Genomic DNA, 13,151 nt, shown 5'->3' with positions numbered 1-13,151 from the left:
CCCGAGACTGCCAAAGTCCCCCACAATTCTCTATGTCACAATATTTTTTTGATTGTACCAAAAAACAAACAACCAGTGAATGATTTAACCTGTTTTTAAAAAGCATTTACACTTAAAAAGTGGAATGAGGTGGAATTATCTCCTTTTAAAAAATGTTTCTAGAGCTACTGAAAAACTTGCATTTACAAAACAGTTGATAAAAATATTCATCTGGATAGCACAAAAAGGGAGACAGGGACCTCTGATAAGACATGGTACATGATATTAATCAGACTCGGCTTCTTTCTCTCTGGCTTTATCAAAGGCTGGACTCTTCTCTGTTTTAGTTTCTTCATTTTCTGAAGGTAAATCTTCTTTAATTTCTTGGTCAGCCACTTCAGCCTGTTTTCCCATTGCTCCCGTTTCCCTTTTGTTTGCACTTTTTTGTCTGAAGATTTATCCTTTCCTGCTATTCACCCCATACACACCCCGCCCCCCACCCCCGCCACTTCTTGGCTTTATTTCCACTTTTTCAGGAGCAGGTTTAGCTGACAACCATACCGATCACCTCTTGGGCTCTTCCTTTACTGTTCCTTTGGCTGAACTGATTTTCCTCTTGGTTGTCTTGGTGGTGGGGAGGACGCATGCCTGGTGCTTGTGGACCAATGTGTGCTGAGAGCCTTCTTGATGCTGGGCTGCTCAGCTCCTGCCCTAATTATTTAATTAAAGCTCCCCCACCACAGCAGAAGGCCAGTAATCTCTGTGGACATTGAAGATATGCTGAATGAATCCATCCATTTGAACTGGACCCAGAAGGCTAAGGTCATCCTTGCTGCTTCATCATTTCACGTAAATGAGTGGTAAGCCTACTAGACTGCAAATATCCAATCAATTTAAAATAAAAAAAAAAACCAAAAAACAAAACAACAACAACAAAAAAAAAAAACGGCGTTTGGTAAGAAATAGAAGCTTCCCAGCTTCTCTCTTTCAGCCCCTTGGCTCTTGCATTAATTGTTTCTGTGAGGATTATTCCTGTTTTGGAAAGTATCTCTTTGGTCTTGCTTTTTGATGCTTTGAGAGGCTGATAAAATATTTCATCACAAACTTCCCGGGAGGAGCTGATGCGTCTGTGATTTTTCTTAGGTCAATGAATTACACAGCCTGTTTGACCATGTTTAATACCTAATGCATGCATAGTTTACTCCTGAGCTCAGTGGTTGGAGAGGCAATGAGCAGTGGAGGAAGGTTATCTTCAAAGGTGCTATCTGGGTTTTAGAAAGCACAAAACAATAGACACGTCAAGTAAAGTGATGATGTGAAAATTACTGCAATTATCAAGGATAAATACATTTGAATTGGAACACCCTCAAGGACAGCTCATTCTTGGCTCAGTCTTCCCTCCTGTTTTGAATCTCCATTTGCAACTTTGGTAGCTGTCCATGAAGACCAATGGGCATGAGTCGAGGCAGGGATTTTTCTTATTTTTGTTTTTGTGGAGAGTGAAGGCATCACATTATTATTAATTCATAACTCTGAATCAGTTAAGGGAGGGGATTTTTTAAAATCACAACTAAACAAGGTTGTGCCTGACTTTTGTAGGTGCTTATGACAAAGAATAGACACCTGAGCTTTGTATGTGTTTCCAACCAACCCTCTGCTCATTTTGTTCTGTCAAAAGTATCGCTTTTCCCAATCCTGCCTATGATCCTAGAGGCTCCACTACAATTCCTTCTTGATTCTGCTCCAAATCAGATAATTGGTCCCCCTCTGAACATAGGAGCACCTGGTTTTTGGTGCACATCACTTTTTATGTTGTCAAACTTCTGTTTTGCTGACTCATTCTTCTTCCCTCTCTCCTCCCCTCAGCAGCACACGCTGTTATTGGGAGTTTCAACTCATTTTATGTGAGTGGTTTACAGACATTTCCATTAAGGAAGTGGAAGGAAGAGTCCAAGAGAAAGAAAGCACAGAAAGGGAAGGAATGAAAGTGCTAAAAAAAAAAAGAGAAGAGAGTCTAGGTGATGTTTGCAGGTTACAGAAGGACAAGGGAGAAAGAATCATCCCTTTAAGATCATATTAGAGGATGTCTGCAAAGTGTCTGCTGTGTAGATTCAGGTCTCAACAAATGGTGGCCATTATTAATTCTATTCTATTGAATGTAGCAAGGTCAAAGATGTGGTTTTGGTCACAGCCAATCCAGAGATCTTCAAAACAGAGTCACCTTGCCCAATGTCTGGTAAAATAATATGTAAATGAGTCAGTTTGTTACTTTTCAAAAAAAGGCTTATGTCCTCTTCCTCCCCAAAAGTGGAATATCTATTGTTGGATCTAGGAAATTTTAAAATGTTTAATTATTAAAAATAATTATTTGATATATTTCTCTATGCTTGTGAAGATTTCCTATGTAATTAGATGAGACACCTAGAAGCAGACACACAGATTCTAAAGAACATAACTTTTAAGAAGCTTGACTCCTGCTGCCAGTCTGTTCCTCAGAGATTATAACACCCTGTTCATGATTGACATGAGATTAACTACTCTTTCCTAGTGTACTAAGAAAACAATTGCATTCTTATTTTACATTTTTTAATTTCTACTTAATTCAATTTTTAATGTGTAACTTCCAGCAAAATTAGTGTTTAATTTCCAGTGAACTTCATTTTTAAGTTCTAGTGAGTTTCAACTTATTTACATGTCAAGTAGCCATTTATATTTATTCTTCTGTGACTTTACTCTGAGGAGGTGTATTAGTCTGTTTTCATGCTGCTGATAAAGACATACTCAAGAGGGGATAATTTATAAAGAAAAAGAGGCTTAATGGACTCACAGTTCCATGTGGCTGGGGCAGCCTCACAATCATGGTGGAAGGGGAAAGGCACGTGTTACATGGCAGCAGGAAAAGAGAGAATGAATGGCAAGTGAAAGAGGTTTCCCCTTATAAAACCATCAGACCTTGTGTGACTTATTCACTACCATGAGAACAGTACGGGGGAAACCGTCCCCATGATTCAATTATTTCCCACCAGGTCCCTCCCACAACATGTGGGAATTATGGAAGCTACAATTCAAGATGAGATTTGGGTGGGGACACAGTCAAACCATATCGGGAGGCAGTATTTGTGATCTTATCTATTTTGATCTCTTCATGTATTAAGAATATTAATGTGCTTAATCTATAATATTTGTTGGACTTTTTATCACTGTATGCCGTGTGCATAGACTTTTGAGTATTTTGATATTTCTCCACTGTTTTTTTTTTCTTTTTGGGACGAAGTTTCACTCTTGTTGCCCAGGCTGGAGTGTAATAGTGCGATCTTGGCTCATTGCAAACTCTGCCTCCAGGGTTCAAGTGATTCTCTGGCCTCAGCCTCCCGAGTAGCTGGGATTACAGGCACCTGCCACCACACCCATCTAATTTTTGTATTTTTAATAGAGATGGGGTTTCATAATGTTGACCAGGCTGATCTTGAACTCCTGACCTCAGGTGATGCGCCTGCCTTGCCCTCCCAAAGTGCTGGGATTACAGGTGTGAGCCACTGCACTCGGCTTCCACTAATTTGAAATTTGAAAAATTTTCTCTAATCAAAGAGTAGATCTATATGCATCTCTATTTTCTTCTAGAACTTCAATTTTATTTATTATTTTCACCTTTTTTGTTAGCTTATTGTCAGAAATTTTAAATTTATTTACTATTAGTTAACCAAATCTCTCCAAACCATTACTAAATACTTTCTTTTCTCGCCAACTGGTGAATTTTTACCATCCTACATGAAGTTCATTTATATCAGGACCCATTGCTTGACTTCGATAGTATAAATATCTCTGTCCATTCTTATCTAGAATTGTCATAGTTACATATTAAAAGAGTGATTTAATATCTGGTACAGTATTATTATAATACATTTTTTAACTGTATACTATATTCTCACCATAAATACTTAAATGATCTTAGTGATTTTTTGATAACCCATGTCCCAAACAATCCCACTGAGCTGGTATTGTGTCCTTATTAGAAATGCTGTTTATTTTCATTTAATGTCTTCATAATTATTGCTGGTATATACCAAAGCTTTTGTTTTCTGTTCTTTTTTTTTAAAGTCTGATCACTATATTCTACTCTTTTAGAACAAATCCAGTAGTATTATATAAGTATTTTAGGTGTACAATCATGTAATCTTATAATCTACAAATAATGACAGTATTATCTATCCTTTTTAAAAAATCTCTTTTGATAGATTCACTTTGATGCCTTCTTAAATTCAATTGTTAAGTTAAACAATATTGATAATTCTAGAGTGCATATTAATGATAAAAGCCTTTACCTTTATGGTAAACTACCTAATGCTCTTTAATTTGTATTTTACTCTATTTTGTTCTAAATTCTTTTCCCAAATTTTTTAAATTTAAAAGTGTGTTAGCTTATTGCTTGCATGTGATATGTGAGAATTTATGTTTATAGTTTTCAGGACATTAGAGACTTCCAGCATTTCCATGGCCATACATTTTTTTTTTAAAGACTTGACTCAAATGAAATAATGCATTTTTAATGTGAGGGTGAAGGAGATGTGAGAGGTCAGAGGTTAGTCTCCACTCATAGTGATTAGGTCTTGTACTCTAGCCTAAGTAGCAGTTTTTACATTTAATTTAATTAATTTATTTCTGTCAGCTGTTGGGGCAGCAGATGGTTCTTTTGATTACAGCAAAGCAAAGGTAGGAAGCAGAAGTCTCACAGACACTCAGAAACTCCAGGAGGGGGACTAGGGGAGTGGTGCTGAAGTGCCAGGGCTGGCAGGTCTCTGAGGACCAGTTGAAGGGAGGTATGTTCCCTCCCAGGAGGCTCATAGGGGCTCAGCATGTCTCTGTTTTCACTGTTTCCAGGGTGGAGGGAAAGGACTGGAGTCCACCCTCATACCCCTGGATGGCCAAATGCCAAAGTCCCTGCTTTTAACCTCAGAGCTGCAGATGGATCTCCACTGTGCACTTGTGGTTGGATTCCAGCCTCCAAGCACGTCTGAGTAACATGAGCCACACAGTGAGGCCCTGGCTGGGAAGATGAACAGGAGGCCACGTAGGCCTCCAGGGCCAACCATTTCTACTCAGGCCTGGGAGGATGCACAATTCTCCAAACATGAACAGAATGTGAACAGTGACCCAAGCTCAAATCCAGATCTTCAGATTCCAAAGTGACTGGCTGTTCTGTGCTGTGCAGAATGGAAATTATACAGTAATATACACTCTCTGGAAAATATCAGGAAACGAAGGCCACCTGTGTTGTCATGCAAGCCTGAGAGACAGAACCCAAATATAGGCTGGAGAAATGGAAAAAGGCTGCCTGAAGGGGAACAAGAGGCTCCGGAGGTCATACTGGGTCAGATGAGCAGCTTTCAGTCATGTTCTCTGCCAAAGCCCCCAAAGCCCGCCACAAACCTGCCTCCCGAGGGCATAACACCAGATCTGGGGGCACCAGGACACAGCCACCGTGTGGTGTGTTGTCATCAGCACCACCTTCTTTGCTGCTGGTGGTCATGGCACAGGCTGCCCATTCTGCAATCCAGCCCCAGAATCCCTTCAGAGCCTGGGGTTGATTTTTCCAATCCCAGCTTTTCAGTGGGAACAGAGCTCTGCTCCCTAAGGAGAGGATTCTCAAACAAGCAAGTGGTTAAGATACTGGCATCTGAAAAAGAATGGCAAATGTGCATTGCATCATTATAATCTGAAGTTCAGCTTGTTTATCTAACACTTACTTACTGAGGATCTATTCTGTGCCCAGCATGGTGCAGAGGAATATGATCCATGGGGGAGTGTCAACTTGGCCAGGCCGTGGTGCCCACTTGTTTGCTAAAACACTAGTCTAGATATTGCTATGATGGCGTTTTGTAGATGTGGTTAACATTTACACTCAGTGGACTTTAAGTGAAGGACATTATCCCTGATTCTAGGGGTGAGTCTCATGTAATCAGTTAAAGGCCTTAAAAGCAAAAAGTGAAGTCCCCCTACCCAAAAAAAGTCTGTCAAGACTATAACATAGAAACCCTCCTTGGGTCTGGGTCTCCAGCTTCCTGGCCTGCCCTGGAGATTTCAGACTTGTCAGCCCCCATAATCATATGAGCCAGTTCCATGAATTAAATCTCTCTCCTTTTTCTCTCTCTCTCTCTCTTTTTTTTTTTTCTTGAGACGGAGTCTTGCCCTGTCGCCAGGCTTGAGTGCAGTGGTGCGATCTCAGCTCACTGCAACCTCCGCCTCTCAGGTTCAAGCGATTCTCCTACCTTAGCCTCCTAAGTAGCTGGGACTACAGGCGCGCACCACCACGCCCGGCTAATTTTTTTTTAGTTTCAGTAGAGATAGGGTTTCACCATGTTAGCCAGGATGGTCTCGATCTTCTGACCTCATGATCTGCCTGCCTCGACCTCCCAAAGTGCTGGGATTACAGGCGTGAGCCACCGCACCCAGCTCTCCTTTCTCTTTTGTCATATATATTTATGTATATGTGTGTGTATATACATGTATGTATCTCCTACTGGTTTTGCTTCTCTGGGGAACCCAGAATGACTACTGTCTTCCTGGTAGATGCACACAACTGAGAAATGAAACAGATCACTGTCAAAGCGTGCATTATCATAAGTGATATCAAGGGAAGAAAACAGGTTGTTGCCATGGAGAACAACAGGAGAATACCCCAAGTTAGATGGTGTAGTCTGGGCTGACTTCTCAGAAGAGGTGAGTTAAGATGCAGACTTGAAAATGCAGAGATGGCTCTTGAATTAAGAGGGCTAGTAGGAACACAACTAAGGGAATGTACAGAGACACTGAGAGTGTCTCAGCCCCCCACAGTCTGGAGGGCATTGAAGAGTGGAAGAGGAAGGACACACATGTTTATGGGAGCCTGCTCAGTACCTAGATCTGGGGTAAGCCCTGTACATAGAGTATGGTTTTTCAAATTTCATCCTTGCCACTTCAGATGGGGATGGTTTTATAATCTCATCTTACACATAGAGAAACTTGCCCAAAATGTTATAGCCAGTAACTGGCCCAGCTTTTATTCTAACTCAGTTTTCTTTAATTCCAAGACTCTTTTCCCTTGTTTTGTCCAAAGGATGGAGACAATTTAAGATGTTTCTCACTTTTGAAACAGCTGCATACTTTGCTTACAGTTGAATTGCAACCCATAGATCAGTGATGCTGTAAAAGCATATTTTCTCTGCTGCTTCAAATTTCTTGGATATCTGAATACGGAATCATTTTCTGCACAAACCAAGCGAACATTCATTTTTACATTAGTATGAGTCTGCTGCTGAGAGACGGGAAAGAAGCAAACATAGAGGCTTGAGGCAGCTCCACGCCAGTGAACATGGGCTGCATATACCAGCCCTGAGGTCACACACTTTCTGCACCTATCTTTATTGTGTGCAGTCTCTGCAGCAACCTCCTAATCTGCCTCCTCACCTCGACTCTTTCCAGCTCACTTCTCTGCTGTTGTTGGAGAGGGGTGTTTCTAAGAATGCATGCTCTTGCTTAAAGCACTGCCATAAATTCTTGTCATCAATATGAGCAAGTTTAAGCTCCTTTCCTTTCTATTTAAGGCTGCTCATAACTTAATCTCAGATGGTTTTGCAAACTGATCCATTACATTCTATACAGTTTACTTTTCAATCTCACTAAACAACCAGCTCTTTCATAAACACACTCTTTCTTGCATGACTCCACGATTTTTTAGTTTCCCATTCACTGGGGTTAGATCTCCTCTCTTTTCTTATTACTTCTTTTCTCTCCTGTCTCCTCATCTCTTCTTTTTTCTTCTCTGCCTAGCAAATCACTGACTACCATGCGCAAAACAGAATCATCACTTTGTCCTTTCTACTCTTTTGGCACAGTACTTTTCATAAAGTATTGAAAGTATTACTTTGGTGTGGGGGGCCTCCAGTTCAGTCCATGGAGCAATGCAGTTCCATGGACTGAGGAAAGAACATTGTCTTATATTTTTGAGTTTCTGTTTTGTGTTCTACTTTGTGTACCATGAAAGACTTTGGGCTCATCACTTCTCTGGACATTTCATTTTCTTAAGCACAAAGCAATGCCTCAGAAGAAAGATTCCCACGGTCTGTAGCGGTTCTGACATTCTGTGACCAGACTGAGTCACCATTTCCCTCATCACTCCCTCCTTTTTTCATCCACATTTGGGGAATGTGTTGTGTATTAAAAACACCTTTAGAATCCCTGAGAAAGATGGTGGCCGTAAACCGGATCTCCCAGAAACAACAAAGCATTGGAGCCATCAACACATCATTAACATTTGTTGCTCATGAAAGAGAAAATGCAAAGCCCAGTGCTGGCTGATGGCAAAGTGCTGGAAGCTATCACTCAGTGTTAAAAAACCCTGTTAGGATTATGTTGACCCAGCTGCCCAAAGATTTCTCATCATGCACCTGTTGGGTATTATGAGTAAATGATATTTTGCCAGTATGGGAGGAAATTGTCTTGACTGTCATGTTACGTGATGCAGTTTGGAGTCCCCTCTCATTTGGGTCCAGGTGTTGCTCTCATGTGCCTCCAAATACGTGACAGAAGAGAAGGCTTCATCTCTTATACCCATGTCCATGGGCTATATATGAACGTTTTTAGTTTAGTTTTGTTTTGTTTTTAATCTGTTCAGTTTTACATCATAAGATCATAGAGCCAGAAGGTTCCACATTGGTAACATAGTTTAAACCCTTTATTTTACAAAGGAAGAAAACAAACCCCAAGAGAAAATGTGAAACTCTCTGAATCATACAGTTGCCTAGTGTGACAGCTGCTCTCATTACAAACCCAATCATCTCTTCCCAGGGCCAACGCTTTTTCTACTACCCCATCCTCTCTCTCCTTGGGTTGAAATTCAAGAGTTTTCCATAATATAGGTTAAGGATTATGAACAACTATTATGGCTAGAGTGAATGTGGTTACCTGAATCAGCGGGTTGCTGGGCGAGATGATTTTCTGCTCCCTTGGGGTGGGCCTAGGCATGAGTGGAAAGGGGCTGCCTGCTTGCAGAGCAGATGTTCCAGCTGTGGTGACTTACAGACAGTTCGGCCAACGGGTAGAAGAGTGGTTCTGGCGGTCACATTTTAACGACATTTTTCTAAGCCTCGTTAATAAGTATCCTACAGAAATACAATACATTTATAATTCCAAAAACGTTGAAAACATAGACTCCCTCAATTTGAGTGCTTCTGTTTTCTGTATCATCTAGCATATGAGCAAAGAATGACTAGGAAGAGTATAATTGTGTTTTATTTCTCTCCTGATTTGGCTTGTAGTTGGAACGTGTGTGTGCGTGTGTGTGTGTGTGTGTATGTGTGTGTGTTTTGGGGGGTTCTGTCTCAATTCAAATATCCTAAATGATTTAATGACTTTTACCACATTAAAATGGTAATAGTAAAAAAAAATCTATAATTAAAACCACCTTTCAACATGAGCAGTTTTATGTTTTATAACTTTATCCACTCTAAAATACAATGTTTGCAGTCAACTTTTGCAGACTTAGAGAAAACACAATGACATTACAGGATCTCAGGCACCAGCATAAATTATTTAAATACATATCAACAATCAAGCAAAATAGCTGGAACAATAGGAAGCACTTCACTAATATCAACAATTACTTTGGTTTGTTTTGAGAAGGGTTTCTCTTCTTGTCTATTTTCCTATGGAAGTTTCAAAGAAAATATAGTGGAACTTTAAAAAAGAACTATAAGACCTAAGAGACATGGGATAATTTATAATTCATATTTAAATTAAATATAATTAAAAATTATGCTGTGAAAAGCTTAGCAATTACCACTGAGAGTTTATGTGCTTGAGACAAAGAAGGCACACTATGCATATGAGTTTGAGAAAATGCTTTCTAGAGCACCTTGTGATGTAAGTACTAAGTACAAAGAGAGTCCATTGTGAATTTTCTCTAGTAGTCAAGCAGGGCTTCCCAAACTTTGGTTGTGCCTGCATTGTTCTGAGGGTGTGAGAAAGCACAGACCTGGGCTTTACCCCTGGAGCTCTGACTCAACAGAACTTGCGTTTCTAGCAAACTCCCCTGTGGTGTCCGTTCTGTTGGTCCATGGGCCTGTGGGGTGTGTGTTTGTGTGTGTGTGTATGTGTTTAATTTCAGGTTGAAAATATACTGAAAAGAAAGACTGTAATCATGTAATTTAAAAATGCTTTCAATCTCAATAGACATGATGACTGTTATGTTGGATATCAGAAGAGGGAATTAAAGTTTCTCTCTCTGACAACGTTGCAAACTCCGTGTTGCCCCTAAAACTTCACAGAATGGAAAATCTAAAATCAGAAGCTAAAATACAAAAACAAATGCCCAGGTGAGCCTTCAGGGCAAGGGAAATTCTCAGATACCCAAAATGACGAGAAAATAGAATGCAACAGAGAATCAAGTGCATGGATGCTGACTGTTGCCACAGAAGTGTTTCTGATCGCTGGTGACCCTGAGTTTTGGTCCTGGTGATCCCTGACAAAAGACAGTAGTGACTGAACCCTGTGCAGGTAGGGAAGTGAAGGCAAACACTCCGTCATAAAACCAGTACTATGTGCCCAGTGGACTAGTGAGACAAAAAGGACACTCCTGAGGGAAGGGAAAAAATAAGCAGGTGTTCACTGAGCATTTGTATGGCAAACCCTATCTTCACATGTTTGGGGCATGATGTCACACTATCTGTTATCCTCAAAAAAACATACAAACAAGCCAACTTGATAATGTATTCGTTTTCTCAAGTCCTGACACCTGTCAGAGCCCATAAGAATACTTTCTAGGCTGGGCGCGGTGGCTCACACCTGTAATTCCAGCACTTTGGGAGGCCGAGGCAGGTGGATCACCTCAGGTCAAGAGTTTGAGACCAGCCTGACCAACACAGTGAAACTCCGTTTCTATTAAAAATATGAAAAAAAAATTAGCCGGGCGTGGTGATGCACTCCTGTAATACTAGCTACTTGGGAGGCTGAGGCTGAAGAATTGCTTGAACCCAGGAGGCGGACGTTGGAGTGAGCCGAGATGGCGCCATTGCACTCCAGCCTGGGCAAAAGAGCAAAAACTCCATCTCAAAAAAAAAAAAAAAAAAAAAAAGAAAAGAAAAAAAGAATACTTTCTAGAGAAATTCAAGTAAAAGTACCCTGAAGCAACTGTAATCAATAAAGTTTCAATGAAAAGGAGTTCACAAATTTAGAACAGTGTTTCGAAGCAGATGAGGTAACAAATAACCATGAATTAGACTGAGCAAAAAGAAAAAAATAGAGTCAGATGTTAAAAGACTTCAGCTATTGGAACACCATATGCAGAAGTTTTTAAAAAGTGCATTTAATAATTTAAAAGAAATAACAGTGAATTTCAAAGACCTAAATTACTAGAATAAATAACATGCAAAATTAATCAGAATGCAGCTACAAAGAGAGTAATAAAATTTGAAGAGACATGGAAAGACCACTAGACTAATAAGGTGTGTGTGTGTGAGAGAGAGAACAGAGTTTAGGAAGGAAATAATAGAATAGTTAGAAGAAGTAATATTTGAAGAGGCAGGCTAAAACTTTATTTTCTCAAAATTGATGGAGGATATTAATTCTTATATTAGAAAAGCTCGAGACACTAGACACATTTAAGTAGGAAAACAAAAACAAAAACAAAGACAAAGATGAACTTCCAGTATCGAGAAAAGATAGGTTATATATAAACAAAATATAGGCCAACAGCTGACTTTTCCTCAACCACAATAGAAACTAGAAGACTGGGAAATTATCTCCACAGTGCTGAGAATAAATAATTAACAAACTAAAAGTATAGCGTGAATGGAACTGTTTTTAAAAAATTAGAAAAAATAAATATATTTTTAGACAAATAGCCCTGAAAAGTTTATTACTAAGTCACCTCAAGGAGAACTTTAAAAGAATATACTTTTCAGAAGAAAATAATCTCCAAAGAAATATCTGAGATAAAAGAAGGGATGGGTAAAGAAAATTGGAAGCTTACAGGTAAGCCAAAAGAAGTATTGACAACATAAAATAGTAATTATCATAATGTCTAACTTGCAGAATTATAAAATGACATGAAACTAAAACACTAAGCAAGTATAAGCTATAAGTCCAGAAGGGAATAGTTGCATTAAATGTCTAGGCCCTTGTATTGTTTTGGAAAGACAATAAAAGTTCTCCAATCAGACTTTGTTGGGTTAAATATGCAAGTTAAAATTTCCAGTATATGCAAACAGAAAAAAAACTAGATAACTTTCAAAGTTATTATATAGAAATAGAAGAAAGTAGAAAAATTCCAAATAATGTATAAAAGGAATAAAACCAAAAGAATTGTTGATAATCACAGGCCAGAAAATTATAACCTAGCATGGTAAACATAAATTTAAATTTAAATATAACTGTATTCTCAATAAATGTAAATGACTCAGACTTTCTAGTTGCAGACAAAGATTGTCAGACTGGATTTTAAAATATGGGGGAGGAGGGAAATGTCATTCGAAAGAGACAATTAGCATAAGAACCAAGTTTGAAAGCAAAATAATGAAGTTAGTATCATGAATTAGCACTTAGTAGTCCATAGAAACAGAGCTATCGTGAAACAAATAAAGCCCTAAAATGGTTTGGAGTTTTGTTTACATTATTGAGAAAGGACTGTTGCGTTTACTGTCAAGTCCATACATTTCAAATCCAAATAAAATCAAGCTATCAGGCAGTGAAATCTATCTCATTTGAAACTGTGGAAGCAAAATATATCATCTAGAAGTTTGGTAATCTTTTTACTTATGTCACAAGCCTCTTTGTTACTGAACCACTGGTGTAAGTTTTGAAATTTTAAAGATTAATAATGTACAATAATAGTTTAGATATATATAAAACATATGCAAAAATTCCAAGAAGATATTAATAAACCCAACTTAGCAATGTATAAAAAGACATTCTGTCCTGACCAAGTTGTAGTTATCCTGGAGTTGCAAAATTGTTTATCTTAGAAAATTCCTTTAGTAGAATTTCTTTTTTGAAAAGAATAAAGAAGAAAATCTATGGGCTCATCTCAAAAGATTAAATGAAAGTACTAAAAAATATAATTTTAAGAATTTTTACATGTATTAATAATAACAAAACTATAAAGAGGATAGTTTACTAATATTATCAAGCCCTGTAGGTAT

At 38.7% G+C, this 13,151-nt stretch overlaps 1 pseudogene, besides 1 other annotated feature; it reads right to left on the bottom strand.

Annotated features, from left to right (window-relative positions):
* Positions 265-597, bottom strand: HMGN1P19 (high mobility group nucleosome binding domain 1 pseudogene 19; annotated as a pseudogene).
* Positions 8,031-8,559: an enhancer, noted in NCBI's record as "NANOG hESC enhancer chr7:46666250-46666778 (GRCh37/hg19 assembly coordinates)". NCBI's record gives its function as "activates a minimal SCP1, AML or CMV promoter by ChIP-STARR-seq in naive H9 embryonic stem cells {active_cell/tissue: H9 hESC(naive)}" and the evidence as "EXISTENCE:reporter gene assay evidence [ECO:0000049][PMID:30033119]".

Source organism: Homo sapiens, chromosome 7, assembly GCF_000001405.40.
Source record: "Homo sapiens chromosome 7, GRCh38.p14 Primary Assembly".
In the NCBI taxonomy this organism is placed as follows: Eukaryota; Metazoa; Chordata; class Mammalia; order Primates; family Hominidae; genus Homo; species Homo sapiens.
This window is presented reverse-complemented; position numbering and strand designations above follow the sequence as displayed.